This window comes from Homo sapiens, chromosome 3, assembly GCF_000001405.40.
Source record: "Homo sapiens chromosome 3, GRCh38.p14 Primary Assembly".
NCBI lineage: Eukaryota > Metazoa > Chordata > Mammalia > Primates > Hominidae > Homo > Homo sapiens.
The window spans coordinates 42,310,389-42,330,449 of record NC_000003.12 but is presented as its reverse complement, the minus strand read 5'-3'; the positions used below and the strand labels follow the sequence as shown (position 1 = coordinate 42,330,449).

General features: G+C 39.0%; 1 pseudogene; it reads right to left on the bottom strand.

Annotated features, from left to right (window-relative positions):
* Nucleotides 1–7,557: 7,557 nt before the first annotated feature.
* Nucleotides 7,558–9,133, bottom strand: SALL4P6 (spalt like transcription factor 4 pseudogene 6; annotated as a pseudogene).

Below are 20,061 nucleotides of genomic sequence, written 5' to 3'. Positions count from 1 at the left end.
TGATCTAGGCTTACAGCTTTCTTTTCTTCTTTCTTCCTTTTTCTGATTTTGGTATCATAGTTATGGTAGACTTGCAACATATATTGGGAAGATTTCCATATTTTTACTTGATTAAGTAAAATAGAAGTTTTACTTAAGTAATATGAAATTTTTAGTTCCTTTAAAGTCTGGTAGAACTTGCCAGAAGAATTAAGTGGACGTGGTGACATTTTGGTGTGGATATTAGACCACTCTCCTCTATGTTTTTTGGTCTATTTAAATTTCCTATTTCTTTTGCCAATTTGGCCATTTGACGCCTCGAAAATCATGTGGATTTTTTTCTCCAACTATGAAATTTGCTATTACAAAATTGTATATAACATTCTCTTCAATTTTGTGAAATTCCGCTGTATTTGCAGTTACGGCAGCTTCATCATTCCTAATGTTGTTTATTAGTGTCCTCTCATTTTATCTTGATTAAACTTGTCACCACTTGTCTATTTTATTTGTGTTTCCCCCCAAATGAAAAAGAAAAAAAAAAAAGTACTCTTATGGGTTCTATTGTTCCATTTCATTGGCCTCTGTTTTTATATTTACTGTTTACTTTGAAGATTACTTTGATTTTTTTTCTTAGCTTCTTCAGTTGAAACTTCAGTTTACTTATTTTAAAAATATCATATTTTCTAATAAATGTTTAAGGCTGTACTTATTTTTAGTATGGTTGGCTCTATCCCAAAGATTTGTATATGTAATGCCTCTTGTCATTAATTTCTAATTTGGTCTATAAGTTGTTTCATTTTTTCTTGCTGACATTCATATATTTTGGAAGGATTATTTCTATTCTAATCCAATAAATCATTTTGGGGAGATTTTAAATTTAGTTTTTCTTTTTTGCTATAATTTGTTTATTATAAATTTGCTTACAGAGTTTTTCTTTTTGGAAAAAATTGAAATGTGCTTTTAAGCCTAAAATATGCTTATTTTTGGTGAATTTTCCACATTTGTTTAAAAAGAATGTTTCCACTTTGATGTTGGGTACAGCTTTCTTTATATAGCTGTTATACCAAGCTTGTTATTTAAATCCTTTAAAGTCTTACTGATTATTTACCTATTGATTTCTATGTTTGATCTTAGCCAAAAGGCCAAAAAGCAATGCCTATTGATTTCTGGAGATATGTGCTAATCTCTATATCAGTTAGCTATTGCTGCAAAACAAACTGCCTCAAAACTCAAGCACTTAAAATAATCATTTGTTATCACTCATGTACCTGTGGTCAGCTGGAACTCAGTTGATCTATAATGCACTTGGCTGAGTGCCTCCACTCTAGGCTGTGGTGGCCAGGGTGGCTATTGTGGCTCCTAACTGCATGTCTATGGGTCAACTAAGGTGGCAGTAGTTGATTCTGATCCCTACAGCAAGTCTGTGGGTTAGCTGGAAGACCAGATCAGCAAGGAATAAAACTGCCCTTACCAAGCCAACTTGTTGGTCCAACAATCAGGAGAACATGCACTTGTGTCAAGAATTCTGTTACATCCAGTTTTATAATCTGCCCTGAGCCTGACTTAACACTCTAAAGACCTATGTGGTGGGTTACATGGTGGTCCCAAAAATATACGTACAAGTCCTAAGCCCCAATACCTGTGAATACAGCCTTACTTGGAAATAGTGTCTTTGCAGATATAATTAAGAATCTCAATATAACGTCATCCTGGATATAGCATGGGCCCTAAATCCAATGACAAAATGTATTTTTTCAAAGACAGCAAAAGAGAAGGCACGGAGACACACAGAGGAGAACATGATGTGAAGATAAAAGCAGAGATTAGTAATGTATTTACAAGTCGAAAATGCCAAAAATGGCTGGAAACCACCAGAAGCTAGGAGGGAGGCACAGAATCCATTCTCCCTCAGGGTTGGCCTCTAGAAGGAGCCAACCCTGCTGACACCTTGATTTAGGACCTCTGGCCTCCAGAACTGTGAAATAATAAATTAATGTTGTTTTAGGCCACTGGTTTATGGTTATTTGTCACAGCAGTGTCTTAGTCTGTTTGGGCTGCTACAATTACCATAGATGGAGTGGCTTATAAGCAACACAAATTTATTTCTTACAGTTCTAGAGGCTGGAAATCCGAGATCAGAGTGCCAGCATGGTCAAGTTCTGGTAAGGGCTCTCTTCCAGGTTACAGACTGCTGACTTCTCACAGTGTCTTCACATAGTAGAAGGGGCAGAGCAGCTCTCTGGGACTTCTTTATAAGGACACTAATTCCATTCATGAGGATTCCACACACAAGCTGCTCCCACAAATGTCCCCTAGGTCTTGTTGACACACAGTAAAAAGTTCCATAAGTTCCATTGACATTTAGGCTATTTCTTCTCCATCGAGGCTGTGCTAGGGTCTGTCTAGTGTTTGGCCTGGAAGAAATGACAAATAATGGCAGAAAGTCTTGAGAATCAGTACCTCTTTGTGAGGCACAAATTCAAGTGAGGTTAACATGATTTCCAGGCGAGGGGAAGCTATTCTCCTCTGGCAGAGGGAAGAGATTGCTTTTGCCAACTCAGAGAGTTCAAAGGAATGTCAGGGTTTAAGATAGTTTCATTCAGCTACAAAAATGTTCCCAACTCAGGTCTCAAGCTCTCACAAGACTATGTGACCACCTCACATAGTCTTTTCTGCTGTGCTGCCATCATAATCAGATTCTGGGTCTGATTTTTCAACACAATCTGACCTGTGACTGCTTCAGACAATGATCTCCTTAAAAGCTGCCATAGAAGTATGAGATGTCAGGATAATAGTTACTGTTGGAAAGAAGGAGAAAGTAATTGGAAGATGGCATAAGAGGGCCTTCATAGATGCTGATAAATTCAAATGTATTAATCCAGGGACTGGTTATATGGTTGTGCTTGCTTTGTGAAAATTTATCAAAGTCTGTAGTTATAACATGTGCACTTTTCTATAGGTTACACGTAAATAAAAAATATTCGTTTAAAAAAAACTTTAAAATAATAAAAGCTGCCTTACAAGCTCCCTGGCTTTAAAATATGTTGACTGCCTTGATCCAACCATTCTCTTGTGTTGTCATAAATAATCAAACTATTACACATTGATTTTAAAAAGCATTATTTCCATAGCAATTAAGAGAAGCTATCCAGCCTCTTAAGACGTTGCCCTATCAGCTGGGCATGGTGGCTCACAGCTGTAATCCCAACAGTTTGTGAGGCTGAGGCGGGTAGATCACCTGAGGTCAGGAGTTCACGACCAGACTGGCCAACATGGTGAAACTCAGTCTCTACTAAAAATACAAAAATTACCTGGACGTGGTTGTGGAAGCCTGCAATCCCAGCTACTCGGGAGGCTGAGGCAGAAGAATTGCTTGAACCTGGTAGGTAGAGGTTGCAGTGAGCTGAGATCGTGGCACTGCACTCCAGCTTGGACTACAAGAGCTAGACTCCATCTCAAAAAAAAATTGCCTTATAATGAGTTCTTGAGAAATCAGAGGCTGAGGCAAGGATTAATGCGCTAACACTTTACTTTGAAGATACAAGCCCATAAGAGTGAGGGAGAAGGAAATATGAAGTGAAACAAGAAAAAAATGTGTGAGGCAGTGCAAGGTAATTAATTACTGCACTGAGCACTGCTTCACAACGAGGCCACAAAGAGACACAGTAGGTCCATATCTGACAACTTTTATGTTCCACTTCAAATCTCAGCCGTATTTCCTACTCCAATCACTTCTGCAGCAACAGTTCTACACAGGTCTCAATCACTTTTATACAGGTGCAACCTGAGAGTATCTTTCCTTGGTTTCTCTCCTCCTGCTCCAGGGTCACTCTAATGCCATGGTGAGATGCTGGGAGAGCCCACTCAGCACTTATGCATGTACAACCTGGAAGTACCCAGGAGTTAACATCGATGGGGAAACAGGAGCTAATGGATAAGTGTTCCCCTTTCATGTTCCCAGAAGGATAATTCTTAGATGCATTTCACAAAGCTCTTTAGATCACCTGACATCACTGAGCATCAATCACCACCCATAGTGGTGCCTACTTAATAATGTATCTTTATACTGGCTTTCTCACCTTCTCTGTTTCACTCCCCATGTCTCTCATTCCTACTCCTTGGGATCATTTCCCAAGTAAATTATCTGTTTGCTAGCTTTGTCTCTGGCTCTGCTTTAGGGGGAACAAACAAAGCAAAATCTTTCAACAGGAAGTTTGTCCAGCATGCACAACAGATCACAAGCAGCAACTACACCTTGAAGTGGTCCACAGGAGAGCTAGGATCCCTCCTATTTCCCATTTTCACTGGTCAAACCTTACCTCACAAGGAGACAACTCCAAGTCTTTCCAGGTTGTGTCATCTGGTCCATTCTCAACCATTGAGGAAGTCTAATCTCATGTTTGAAGGGTGACCTGATGGGATAGGGTGGGGGTAGGAGAAGGGATCGATCAAAGCAATCCAATAAGGTGCAGAAGTTTAGTGTCCCATACAAGGAAGGAAATTATATTCAGAAAAGCAAGACAGTGGGAAGTTGGCAGAGTTTGAGAGTCTACAAAACAGTCATATGGAGAATCTGTCCAAAAAGCTATTGAAGCTCAGGTCTGGAGCTCAGAAGAGAGGCCAGAGCTGGAGATGTGGATTTGAGAATAGTCAGGGCACGAGAGGCTTGGAGGCTGTGGTGAGGATGAAATCAATCTAAGGAAGGGAACAGAGAAGTGTCCAAGTGTCCTTGGTATCCGAGGGGGGCAGAGAGTGCAGAGGAAAGGAACTAAGGGGAGAAAACAATTTGAGTGAGGAGAACAGGTGGATGTTCTGTTGTAGAAGCAAAAGGAGAGAGGGGAAGAGTGGACAAAATGCTGTGAGGGGGTCAAGCAAAAGAAGACTGAGAAAGAATCTGTCCTGTCTGGCAATTAGAAATTCATCTGTAAATCCTATGAAAATTCTGCTGCAGTGGGAATATGGGCATGCAAGCCAGACCACAGTGGGCGAGGAGAAAACAGGAGGCAAAGTGGTACCAGCCTCCATAGATGCTCTCAGAGGAACTTCAGAATGTTGGCCGGGAGGGGAAGCTGCTAAAGTCAGGGAGGGAAAAGAGGAGCTAATATTTACCTGGCAAGGGGCTTCCACAAAAAGTCCTCACCAACTGTACTCCACAATCCTGGGAGAAAGGGATCACCCCAGAAAGAGAGAAGAGGAAATCAAGGCTCAGTGAAATTGCTGGTCCAAGGTCACAAGACCAGTAAAGGTTGAGTTTGCACCCAGGAATTTGCACCTAAGATTGTATGACTCTGATTTTTCTGCTACATTATGCACTGGAGAAGGAAACAAAGATCTAGGAAGGGCCCTTCAGGCTGGGAGGGACTGGCGTTCATGTACAGGTGAAGAGAATACATGGTGGAAATTGTCCCACAGGTGGTGGGAGGTAGGGGGAGAATGCCACAGGTACATAATTGGTTGAAAAATTCAACAAATAACAAAACCATGGACATGCTTTTATCCCTGTCTTGGGGTTCTCTTTATTTTCAATCTCTAAATTAATGGATAGCCCTTAGATTCCTTGCCCAGAAATTAGGTTATGTTGCTTCCTAAAATAGCACTGGGTCTGGAGAAGCATAAGCAAGTGGGTGCAAGGAGCCTCTTACGCACAGGCCCAGGCCTAAAATATTTCTCTCTAGGGATGGAAACAATATTATATAATGAACAAGAAATACCAGCATTGCTGTGGAAGTGGCAAAAAATGTAAAAAAAAAGGTTTCTTTTCTTGTCTATAATTTTTAAGTTTTAATTTTGAAATAATTACAGGTTCACAGGAAGTAAAATAAGTAAGTTTTTGGGGGGAAAATTCAAAATGTATTTTCCAACAGACAGACAGCATCAGCAGGTACAACAAAAGGGGTTTCTCCATAGATCATACATTCACAAGGCATTATTAGCTCAACAGTGAGAAAGCCACCAGTGTGTTTTCCGTGACACCCATTTCACAGTCTAAACAGGTACTATTATTGTGTTCATTTACAATTCCAGAAGAAAAGGCACAACTTGGCAGAAATAATAATAATAATAATATCTGGGGAATCCTAAAGTCAGGTGAAATAACTAAGAGACAACACCTTGACTAACAGTCTTGGATCCACTGTTCAGCCAGGGTCTTCCACCTAGAGGGAAAAGACTTTTCTCCCAGAAGCTAGAGTCTTTCTTTCTTTCTCTTTTCTTGTTAAACTATGAAAGCAATGTTTCATTTGCTCAATATTACACTTACAAAAGGAGATTACAAAAAAAGGCATCACAAAAACCTCTTGGACGTTCAGCTCTTCCCATCAATACAACTCCTAGATTTTAGACAGGGCCTGGGAATACTTCATCGGTCTTAAAATAGGAAAACAGACACTATAGCTACAAAAGAATTTTAAAATAAATGAGGTAGATAAATTAAAGCTTTTATACCCAGGAATTGCCTATTCCAACTTCATAGCCTTCATGAAATATTCAGGAAGAAAACAAAAAGAATCTTCATAATTACTTGGCTTAAGTCCCAATTATGTTGAATTAAGGAAATTCAACAAAAAAAATTAGTATGTGAACGTGTGATAGGAAACACACCCTTCCATGAGTTTCTTCTCAAGAATGAAAACCCAGTTCTTCAATAGAGTAGGCACTGACAAACCAAATTAAGTCACCTGAAATTCCCTGCTCAGGTGCCCACCTCTTCTGGGGTTCAGGAAGAGGACAGCACCTGGGAAGTGTGGGGAGGACACTGGCACTCTCAGGGCTCCAACTGGACTGCATTTAAGCAGCAACACACACACTGACTCCTTAAGGACTACTGTAAGTCCATCTGAGGGCATCCGACTTATGGTTCTAAAGTTGAAGCAGGACAGGCGCAGTGGCTCACACCTGTAATCCCAGCACTTTGGGAGGCCAAGGTGGGCAGATCATTTGCGGTCAGGAGTTTGAAACCAGCCTGACCAACATGGTAAAACCCCATCTCTATTAAAAATACAAAAAAATTAGCCAGGCATGGGGGCACATGCCTGTAGTCCCAGCTACTCAGGAGGCTGAGGCAGGAGAATCACTTGAACCCAGGAGGTGGAGGCTGCAGTGAGCCGAGATCACGCCACTGCACTCCAGCCTGGGTGAAAGAGTGAGACTCCATCTCAAAAAAAAAAAAAAAAAGTTGAAGCAATTTTATAATTCTACAACCTTAGTTTTATTTTTTTAAAGTACATTCAGAAAAGCAAACAATAAGATGGGGACAGGGTTGGGGTATATAAATAGGCCCCTAAATAGATGGCAGACCTTGTCCTTTTACCCATGTACAGTCATCATGGAAGTATACAGTACCCCTCTCCCCTCAATTAGGCTAAGTCATTGTCTTTTCCATGTTGGTTCAACAAGTTCCAATGATTCTACCTTGAAATAGGTAACCAGTCTTTGGAAAAAATTCTAGGTTGTGCAAAGGTTCTATGTATACAGTTTGTCACAAGTACAAAAGCTACTTTGCAAGACCCGCTTCTTTCCAAAATTTGTTTTTAATGCTAGTCTTTATTTGTTTTGATATGAACATTTGTTGTTGTTTGATTTTTCAATTTTTTGCAAAGCAGCATAGCAACAGTCGTGATTGTGGGACTTGCCTGAGGTTGCGATCACAACCTTCAAAAACATCATTTGCATATCAGTAAGAAAAAGAAAACGGGAGATGAGTGTTTACCAAAAAAGCAGATTCTAGAGATTTCACACTGTCTGCATTTCTCCTTCCATGCAAGTTCTCCTTTAGCTTAGCTGACTGCAATCTTGTTTTCTTCCAGGAAGTGAGGGAACGCTGTCAGTAGCACCTGGTTTTTCCACATCTGCACTGATGCCTGATTGGGAGCCATCCATCTTGAAGACGGTGGTGTTATTCACAATGGAGCTGGCCCCCAAGGAAAGCAGGAGGTTAGGAACACCCCCACTCCGGACCACAGAGATCTCACTGGTCTTCATGGCCAGACTGCCGCTCGGCATGCTGGGCTACTGGTTCCACACAACAGGGTCCACGTTCACCGAAGGGGCCAGGATTTCCTTGGGAAACATTTCTGAGACTTTTTTCTGTCTGTACTTAACAGAGCCATGGTGTTCTCGATGGCCAGCTTCCTCCCACAGCGGGCTGAGTTATTGTTCGCCCCGTGGATCATGTAATGGACCTTGAAGTTGACTTTGGTGGTAAAACTCGCCCACAAATGTTGCCTACAAAAGACTTCTCTCCAGTGTGGGTCCACCCGTGAATGCGAAGAGCACCAGTGGACGAGAAGTTCTTCCCACACCACATGCAGCCATGTTGCTTGGCCTGTTGGCGTGGCTGGGCTGCTAACAAAGCGGTCATCCTGGGGACAATGTTAAGGGTCCCACAAAGGTGCCAGGAACTTCAACTTTGACATAGGTTGGCAGGGATCAGATAAACACGGAAGGGAGACTGCTCTGACACTTGTGCTTGTAGAGGACCGCCTCATCTTTGGGTTTGAGGTCGACTGTGGAGATGTTCGGTGGCTTCCTCTTCCCTTTCTTGGATGGTTCTAGCGCGACAATGGAGAAAGGACTCTGGAAGAGCATCGAGCCCGGCATCTGAGGAAGCAAATCACTTGCGAGAGGAGACATGACGTTTGGGAACAACCTGGTTCCATCTGGCTTCAGAGCAAAGGGCGTCAGCACTGGGGACAGAGAGCTGGTGGCAGAAGGAATGTTGGCAGAAGGGATGTTGGCTTGAAGTAGTTTGGCTTGTTTCAAGGCATCTGGAGACAGACCTTGGCTTCCAGCTTTCTGGCTGAGCAAAGTCACAGCCATAGAAACCTGCTGGGACATGCGACTGCCCAAGGTCGTCGCCCACCACCAAAGTGGAGAGCATGGGAGGTCCACATGTGCACCTGGATGCGATCTGCTGGGTGAGCTGGACCTGCTGTACCTCCTTCTGCAGACATAGGATCTGCTCAAGCACACATGGGTGCTGGGACAGGCAGCGCATCTGCACTCTGCTGATTCATCACCATCTTGGTGTCTCATAGTGCCTGCAAGATCACATTTGTGTTGGCCACTTTGCCTTTGGGTAAATAAATTATGTCTTGGGGGTGGCGGCAGGACAGTCTCTGTCTTTAGGTACATCACAGAGTCCACAACTGGCTTCACTCACTGCTTGGACTGGGTGGTTGGTAGCTAAGTACAGCTCTGGAGAAGTCCTCTGAAGACACTGGCCTCTCGCTGTCATTCATGAGAACAGGTAGATTTTTAGTGTGATTTTTTTCTTATGTTCCAGGAACTCGGAGATGCTAAAGAACTCTACAGAGCATTTCTCACAGACACACGTCTCCTGACGAAGCCACTTTACTGTGGCTTCATCCTCACTCGTTTCATCATCATTCCCTGGGTGGGTCACTGGAGCACCCGGCTTCCCCGCCACTGGTGCCACTGGGGCCACAAGAACTGACCCCGGAGTTTGCAGATGCAGCTCCAGCAGCAGTGGTAAAGGACAATGTGATATTATTTATTTAATATCAAAACAAACACAAAATAAATTACCTTCCTAGCTGCATTACTATCAAAGAAATGAGAATGAAAGATGAGAATCAATATGGAATTTCATTGTATTGATATTGTTTTTCTATTTTGCCATGAGAAAATATTCATGTGTCATTTGTGTGTTTAAATTTTTTTGAGAATGAATGAGAAGTTCTAGCATGATGATAGCTGCATGAGATAACATCTTCCCTCTTTCCCTTATAATCATGTTAAAACTTCATTTTAAGCAAAACTAGACTCCTACTATTCTTATCCAAAGTTCAGCAGTTTTAAATAAATAAATGCTCTTCATTTTGTTGTTTGCCCTTGGTCTATTCCAAAGCTCTGAAATGATTTTTTTGTTCAGTTTTATAATTGTTTTTGAAGAGAGCATTTGCTGACCTTTTCACTCCATAACACTGGAACTCTATCATTTAATTTTTATTTGTGTTTATGGTTTTTTTTCTGATTTTATTTTTAGTAGAGTCTGTATTCGTTTTCTAAGACTGTTGTAACAAGGTACCACACACTGGGTGACTTAAAACAACAGAAATTTATTTTCTCACAGTTAGGAAACTAGAAGTCTGAAATCAAGGTGTGGGTGGGGCCCGCCTCTCTGGGAAGGCTGTAGGGGAGAATCTGTTTCATGCCTTTCTCTTCGCTTCTGGTGTTGCTGGCAATCCTCGGCTTGTGGACACATCACTCCAGTCTCTGCTTCTGTCGTCATATTGCATTCCATTTGTGAATCTTCAGATCATCTTCCCACTCTGTATGTCTGCCTCTGTCTCTTCTCCTCTTCTTATAAGGTCACCAATCATGTTGGATTGGGGCTGTGAAGGTTGTCAGAATAAAAACAAAGTCACTTGTGTTAAAAATCCTCACAAATAGAGCCAAGAAACACCATGAAGGAAGAGTTCTCATGCACAAATATCTGATAACAAGAATTACGACAAAAGCCTGCAAAAACTAAAGCTGTGCACAAAGGCCATCACAACCTTACACACACACAAATTCTTCTGCAAGGACATCTGCCCAGCAACTGCCTGTCTAATCTTGGACTGGCACCACTCTTATTATTGATTCTTGGAGCTAAGGACAAGTATCCCGAAACAATTATGTAATTATCCTCATTTTTTCTTTAAAAAGTTTGTCCGTCTTTACTTCCCTAAATATACACATAGTTTACTATGGCACACATGTTCCCATTGCAGTGCCCTATTCCCAAATAAACATTTTTCTCTTAGAGCCCCCCTCTTTGTTATTTAGATTAATAAAAATGATATCTCAGAAGTGGGACCCAAGTGTACCCACCTCAAAGGAATCAGCAGCCCCTGGTATCAAGTGAGGTAATCGGCAGCTGCTGGTATCAAGTGAGGCATCAACTGAGCCCTTTGCGCTCTATGCTGCCATGAGTTACATTTTCTGCTCTAGTAAATACCCTTTTTAATTCTTGGACTCCCTTCCCTCAGTGAATTCTTTGTCAGTTTCTGAGATAATAAAAGATGTTTTGTCTTTTCTGGCAGGTGGTATCTAGAATAAGAACAATGTTTTTCTGATTTGAGTCCTTTAGTTTCCAAAGAATTTACATTTTGTCTGGGTCTGCATGCCTGGTATAGTATTTTGTGTGGTCTGCATGCCTGGCTTAAAATTTTTGTGAACACTTTTATTTTTTGTTTCATTTGGGTTTGGTCATGTGCGTCTGTAAATGATCTGGCTCCTTTTTCCCCCTTGCTTGTTTCTAAACATTTTCTGAGAGCAAAAACAAACACTCTAAATGGTGGGCACAAGACAGCCAATTAAAAACCACTAGGACAGTCACCACTATCTAAAACATCAGTCCAAACTCCGTGACAGGAATTATAGAATTTTCTTCACTCTTGAGAGATTAATATAAAACAAAAATGATATTCTCAAACATTAAGGCATGCCAGGTTTTCAGGGACTCCTGCCAATTACATGACTTTTCCTCATGCATTTCTTTTTATTTAAAAAAAAATTTTTTTGTAGAAATGGTGTTTCACTATGTTGCCCAGGATGGTCATGAACTCCTGGCCTCAAGTGATCCTCCTGCCTTGGCTTCCCAAAGCACTGGAATTGCAGGCATGAGCCACCATGCCCAGCCATGTTTTTAAACCAGTGGCTATCATGGGGATCATTCGAACCCCCCAAACTTGTTTTACTTAAAGCTGAATTAGAAACTGTAACTGCAGAGTTAACATGTAGAGCCTTCTAAGTTTTCTATATCTCTATTTTTTTTCTGCCTACTTTGAATCTGCTGATTTTTCTACTTGTGTTGAGATAAACACACTGCTTATGGCATTCCAGACAAGACATTTTTTTACAGTCTTAAAGGGCTTTCAAACTAATGGCTTTACAACTTACAACAGCTCCATGGCAACCAACAATCTAGACATGAAATGTAAATTTGAGTTTGCCTGAAAAACAATTGCTTAGGGTGATGGAATAGTTAATTAAGGGATTGATATTCTGAAATAAAATAGACTACCTATCAGGGTAAATAACATTTAGCTATATGAACAGACCCCATTTTCTAAGAAATATAATTTGGATCCAACTCTCTTTTATAAACCAATAAGTATATATTGCTAAGTATTTAAAATTCTAAAGTTATGTTAAATAAAGTGATACTCATTGAATGTCCAAGTCATTTCCAAATAAGATAAATTCCAAAACATAAATAAATGTTTATAAATTAGGCTCTCAGATTAAACAGGTCAAAATCTTAAGCTCAGAGCAATAATATGAGGTGTCTCTCTGGCATAAAAATGCCTTTCTTTGTCTGCCATGCCCAGAAAAAGCAAACAAAGCAAAACAAAAAACCTGCTAAAATGCTTTCTCACCCACATTGACTAATCAAGCAAACCAGACAAAAAAAAAACATAAATTTGTTACTAAAACACCCAAGGCTATTTGGAGATTTGATTTTTCTTATACAATTCAGCCAATTCATGCTGAAAAATAAACAATTGAATGTTTAACCCTAAATTCATTTGAAACCGATAAACAAAAAGAGGGGGCATAAAGGGGCAAAAGAGATTTTGAAAAAGAAAACCAAACTGTTTTGTTCAAAATTTTGGTCCACAGCCTTCATTAGACTACCTATCAGGGTAAATAACATTTAGCTATATGAACAGACCCCATTTTCTAAGAAATATAATTTGGATCCAACTATCTTTTATAAACCAATAAGTGTATATTACTATGTATTACTATCTCATGACTAAAATTCTAAAATGAAAGCTGTAAGATCTTTATTGTGGCTTGTGTATCTATATGTGTTTACACATTTTGTATGTTGTATCTGCATGGTAAAATCTGGCATAGTCAGCTAGAAATCCTTTAAGGAATTCTATTCAGATTGGCTCAGATAAATGAGTGCTTATATAAATTATGGAGTAATCAACCCAAATGCCTTTTAGTGCATGTGACTTAAGTATTTCTTTAATAAATAAGCTGGCTTTAAATTTGTTGATGAAATAAAAATAAAAACATCTTCAGAATTTCAGCATACATTTTTGTCTGGGTTTACTAGTCAGATAGGATTATATTTGTCTCTGCTAGATATTTTAAGATAATAAAACTATAAACCCAGCCTAAAAACATAATGATCTCTGTTTGTGTAACTCTTTGACAAGTAAGACTAATTTAATAGTGTTGACTTAATAAAAACAGCTATGTCTTCTAAGCCATCAGCAAAATATCCATATAATTAACTTTCAAGTTCTTACTTAGGTGAACACCTGATATTCACAGACTGTACACATGTTTAACAGGGAAATTACTTGAAATGATGAGTAGCTTTATCTCATATCTCAGTTTTCATAAGTAATTTAGGTAATGTTGATAAAAATAAATAAATTAGGTAAACGTAAATGGAATAAATATTTATAATGAATTTTTTGTGTGATTTAAAGTTCTAAAGTTATGTTAAATTAAGTGATACTCATTGAATGTCCAAGTCATTTCCAAATAACATAAATTCCAAAACACAAATTCCTGAACATAAATATTTTTGTCTTTGGCTTCTTAAATTTTATAGAAAGACTAAGTATATTTGAGTCTAACAATACATAAAAATTACATTATGGGGAAATGTTTCTAAAATAATAAAATTCTCATTTATAAAATACCAATGTGTGACAGACAGTTCAAAATTGCTCCCTTTGCTTGGCAAAGAATTTATGACTAAAAGCAAATGCAACAAACATGAAAATAGACAAATGGGACTTTTTTTTTTTGAGACAGAGTCTCGCTATGTCGCCCAGGCTGGAGTGCAGTGGCGCAATCTCAGCTCACTGCAAGCTTCGCCTCCCAGGTTCATGCCATTCTCCTGCCTCAGCCTCCCAAGTAGCTGGGATTACAGGTGCCCGCCACCACACCCAGCTAATTTTTTGTATTTTTAGTAGAGACGGGGTTTCACCATGTTAGCCAGGATGCTCTTGATCTCCTGACCTCGTGATCCACCTGCCTCGGCCTCCCAAAGTTCTGGGGACAAATGGGACTTAATTAAACTAAAAAGCTACTGCACAGCAAAATAAATAATCAGCAGAGTGAAAGACAACCTACAGAATGGGAGAAAACATTTGCAAACTATGCATCTGACAAGGGACTAATATTCAGAATCTACAAGGAACTAAAATATCTCAACCACAACAAAAAACAAATAGCCCTGTTGAAAACTGGGCAAAGGACATGAATAGGCATTTTTCAGAAGAAGACATACAAATGACCAAGAAGCAGATGAAAAGATGCTCAACATCACTAATCAGTGGAGAATTGTTCATTATAACCAAGGTGAGATGCCATCTTATATCAATGAGAATGGCTATTATTAAAAAGTCAAAAAATTACAGATGTTGGTGAGGATATGGAAAAAAGGGAATTCTTAAACACAATTGGTAGGGATATAAATTAGTACAACCTCTACAGGAAATAGTATGGATATTTCTTATAGAACTTAAAGTAGAACTACCTTTTAATCCAGCAAGCCAACTACTGGGTATCTACTCAAAGGAAAATAAATCATTACATAAAAAGGATATCTGCACTCATATGTTTATTGTAGCACTATTCACAAAAGCAAAGATATGGGATCTACTTAAATATCCATCAATGATTGGATAAAGAAAATGTGGCATATATATACATCATGAAATACTCCTCAGCTATGAAAAGAATAAAATCATGTATTTTGCAAAAACACCCATGAAACTACAGGTTATTAAGTGAAATAACTCAGAAACAGAAAGTCAAATACTGCATGTCCTCACTTAGAAGTGAGAGCTAGGCTGGGTGCAGTGTAATCTCTGCACTTTGGGAGGCCAAGATGGGTAGGTCACTTGAGGCCAGGAGTTCAGGACCAGCCTGGCCAACATGGAAAAACCCCACCTCTACTAAGAATACAAAAATTAGTTAGGCATGGTGTCAGGTGCCTGTAATCCCAGCTACTCAGGAGGCTGAGGCAGAAGAATTTCTTGAAACTGGGAGGCAGAGATTGTAGTGAGCTGAGATCACGCCACTGTACTGTAGCCCGGGTGATAGAATGAGACTCTGTCTCAAAAAAAAAAAGTGGGATCTACATAATGTGCACATATGAACGTATTGTGTGGAATAATGGACACTGGAAACTTGGAAGGGTGGGAGGGTGGAAGGAGGGTGAGGGTTGATAAACTATTTGATGGTTACAATGAACACTATTCAGGTGATGGCTACACTAAAAGCTTGGACTTCAGTGCTATGCAATATACCCATTTAACAAAACTGCACTTGTACCTCCTAAATCTATTTTTTAAACTGCACTTGCACCTCCAAAATCTATAAAAATAAAAATACTTTAAAATAAACATGTTGTCATAACATTTTTAAAAATTTCTTGCTTCCTAGGTTTTCACTAGAAATTAAGGGTACTAAGAATTAAAAATTCTAATTAATATATAAAATTCTGTATATAAAGCATACCAAAGATTTTTATGAGATAAAATATAAGAAAGGCATAAAAATGTGTTCTTCATTTAGAATAATAAAAAACACGTGTTCTAATTGTAAGTTCAGCAGTTATTAAAGGTTATTTTAAAATATGAATTTAGGAAGGAAATATAAACAAGATAGAAAGAAACCAGTAAGTAGGAGAGAGAGAGATGTAAAGAAAGTTATAAGTATGAGGATAGAGTTTTGGTAAAGAGTTAAAAAGAAAAAAGAATAATTTTGTATGGGAAAGAATCATGTGTGGCAAATTTTTGTCTGAAAGTCAAATGGCTGGTTATTTAAGAAAGAGGAAGTATAGTTCAAGCAGAAAGTCTAAGCATGTCGTGGAAGGTATGTGTACATCACAAAATGTTTGTGAAGGATGAATTTATGAAAGACATTTTTGTGTGTCATCAAGTTGACTATAATTAGAAGGAAATTATAAGTCCTTCTAAAAATTGAGCTGTGATATTAAAAATACAATGATAGGGCTGGGTGTGGTGGCACATGCCTGTAATCCAAGCACTGTGGGAGGCTGAGGCAGGCGAATCACAAGGTCAGGAGATCAAGACCATCCTGGCTAACAGGGTGAAACCCTGTCTCTACTAAAAAAATACAAAAAAATTAGCCAGGCGTGGTGGCGGACACCTGTATTCCCAGTTACTCGGGAGGCTGAGGCAGGAGAGTGGTGTGAACTCGGGAGGCAGAGCTTGCAGTGAGCCAAGATTGTGCCACTGCACTCTAGCCTGGGTGACAGAGTGAGACTCCGTCTCAAAAAAAAAAAAAAATACAATGATAGAAAACAAAATAATCTGCTCTCCTATGTTAAAACAACAAAGTTTTCTTGAAGTATTGATCTGCTCTTAGTAACACTGCAAGAAGTTTTGATTTTTAATTCTGAAATCTGTTTAACAGGTGTATTACAAACTGCAGCTTCTTCCTGTTTTACAGTTTCTATTTCTGCTAAGTTTCTTTCTGAGATGCATTTAATTTTCCTAGTTTCAGGTTGGAAATGCCATCTTCTTTGTTTAGAGTGGTTATTTAATTTCTCAAGGTAGAGAAATTCTCTAAGGCTCTTAAGGCTTCTCAAATTCATGTCTCAGAAATTCAACTTTTGCTGTATTTTGCTGCACATGATTTGCAGGTCACACACACACACATCTTCTGGTTTGGCTGGGGTGATAACTCTTTTAACTTTCTTGTCTGCTCCTGTAACTTTTTTCTTCAGTACTAACTCTGCTGTTACGACCTGACACTGAAATGGTCTATTTTGAAGGCCTGGGAAAGCAATGTTTTCCTCCTGCATAACAATTTCTTGATGTGTCTTAATTGCTCCACATAACAAGGAGACATCTCATACTTTTTCTAAGAGCCATGCATTTCCCTGTACAAGGCACTAGTTTTCTTTTTACATTTCTCTATAATATGATGCATGCTCATAACCTTTGGGCCCACACTCTTAAAATGTCTGACAAAATGCAAGTACCTTTTCATCAGGTTCAACATCCAGGTATCTGAATGGGCTTCCTATGAGGAGACGTAATCACAATGAAGGAGGTTTTTCTTTATCTTTTTGGTAACTAGCCTGAGAACAAAATATTTGTGTTTTATGAAGACACTTTCCTGTGTTGTCTTTATTAGGTTTTCTGATTACTTGGGAAAACCGGGCTTTGAAAGGGTTAAAGCATTTTTTTCTTTTACATCAGTGTAAGTTTCTATATTGTGTTTGAATTCTGATTATCACTCTGGTTAAATGAATTACTATTATTTAATTTTATTATTTAATTAACAGTGACCTGTTATCCTGTCTTTTTTTTTTTTTTCCCTGAGACAGGGTCTCACTCTGTCACCCAGGCTGAAGTGCAGTGGTGCCATCATGGCTCACTGCAACCTTGACCTCCTGGGCTCAGGTGATTCTCCCACCTCAGCCTCCTAAATAGCTGGGACTACAGGGGCACACCACCATGCCCAGATAATTTTTGTATTTTTTATACTGACAGGGTCTCACTATGTTGCACAGGCTTGTCTCAAACTCCTGGGCTCAAGTGATCTGCCTGCCGTGGCCTCCCAGAGTGCTAAAACTACAGGCATGAGCCACTGTATTCAGCCTGTTATCCTGTCTTAATCAAGGGTTTTAAACATTTTGTCATCTTTAACAGGCCTCTCCATTATCAAAATTCTAAATTAAGTCTTTTTGACCTATAATCAACTTTGGGATATTACAGCCAGATCCCTGGAGAGCATCAAAGGATGTATCTCTCATCTTTAGAGATATTAAATGATTAGCCTTATTTGGTGAGTTACATGGGAAGCATTGTCAAATAAATGATGCTAGATCTTCTCTCAGTTGCATCTATGTGTTACTGATATGAATGTTCCAAAGTGTATAAAACTCTTAAAATCCAATATATCATCAGTCATAATGCTTGTTATTATGTTATATGCCACAGAAATAATCAATTTCCTTATCAATTGCTGATTATAATGAACTTCTATCAGATTTTTAACCATGGTTCTTCTAAGTTTTTGTCATCCATAGCTACTGTTTTGATTTTTCTCTAACAGTATTTGCAATCAGATTTGTGAAAAAGACTCTAACAATTACTCTTAAATAGAGGTTTGGGGTTTTTTGTTTGTTTGTTTCTTGTTTTTTGTTTCAAGATGGAGTGTCACCAGGCTGGAGTGCAGTGGGGAAATCTCAGTTCACTGCAGCCTCTGCCTCCTGGGTTCAAATGATCCTCCCACCTCAGCCTCGTGAGTAGCTGGGATTACAGGTGTGCACCACAACACCCAGCTAATTTTTCTATTTTTTGTAGAGACAGGGGTTTCACCATGTTGGCCAGGCTGGTTTCAAACTCCCAACCTCAAGAGATCTGATCGCCTAGGCCTCCCAAAGTTCTGGGATTACAGGCATGAGCCACAGCATCTGGCCAGAGATTTTTTCTTTTTTAAATAACTTTAAGAACAATTGACTAAATAAAAAAATTCAGAACTCTAAGAAGAAACTGATGAATTTGTGAGACAACAAATCATGTCAAGCAGAACAAAAATTAATTACATGAGATTAAATAACTGATGAAGATAATGTTTTTATAACTTATATTTGAAACATTATTGGTTCTTCACTTAAGTGTTTTGTTTTCCAGATTTAAGAAAATGTTCTCTCAGCCGAGTGCAGTGGCTCATGCCTATAATCCAAGCACTTTGGGAGGCCAAAGCAGGCAGATCCCTTGAGACCAGGAATTCAAGACCAGCTTGGGCAACATGGTGAAAACCAGTCTGTACTAAAAATACAAAAAATTACCCGGGCGTAGTGGCACCTGCCTGTAGTCATAGCTACTTAGGAGATTGAGGTGGGAGGATCATCTGAGCCTGGGAGGCAGGGGTTTAAGTGACAGCCTGGGAGGCAGGGGTTTAAGTGAGCCAAAATCACACCACTGCAATCCAGCCTCGGCAACAGAGTGAGACCCTGTCTCAAAAAAAAAAAAGAAAAAAGAATAAATTCTGTCTTAAGCTGTCTGTAGTTTAAAGAAATTTGGTAAAGTATATTTTTGTGAACAAAGGTGGAAGCATTTACTTCTTTCTCCCTACTTGAATTCTCCAAAATGTGGAAACTATCTGTGAATATTCATTTAGCTATTTGCATAATATAGTTATATATTTGTGTGTGGTATAGGCAATATAGTTATTTGCATAAGTTCAATAAAAATTTGCTCTCTTTATAACAGCATACAACTGGAAACATTGGTTATATTACCAAGGCTCTGACTGGAATATTACATTTGAGAATGTGCACAGAATGCCTGGTTTCAAGGGTTCCCAGTCTTACAGAGAGTAAGTAAAAATTGTCATTTCCTGGCAGGCTCAGGAACCTTAAGACTGGAAGTAAAATCTAAAGTCTGCTTTGGTTTAGCTTCTTAGCCTCAAGATTTCAAATATGAGATTCTTACGTGATCAATATAGACAGAAAAAGTTATATTTCCAAGGAAAACTATAATATACTTGTTATTAGATTGTAGTCCTATGCATTATTTTGAGTACTTGTTATGTAACTGTAGACTAGACTAGATTCTAAATTCTTCTAGGTTTCTTCAATCCAGCTTCTATAAAATTATAAAAAATGGTAACTGTTTTATTCCTGAAGCCCTACAAGCAGAAACTAGATAATTTTAAGAAACAAGTCTCATGCCTGATGTATAGGCCACTCTGAAAGTTCAACAAGCCACCCTATGCCATAATCAGAAACATTCAGACTGCAAACTAGGAAAAGAAGTTGACAACTTCATGCTGTGGGCAGCTTTTCCCAAGATGTCAGCACAAGACTCCGTATCATAATGAGACTCTTTTTCACTTGGCAGAATAATGTGCTAATTGAAATTTCACAATCAGGAAGGTAGAGCAACATGGTAGAATGGAAGACTTCACCATTTGTCCTCCCTGCTGGAACACCAGACTTTAACAACTATCTACACAGAGAAAAGCACCATCACAGGAAACAAAAATCAGGTAAGCAATCACAATACCTGGATTTAACTTTGTATCACAAAAACAGGCATTGAGGAAGGCAGGAGA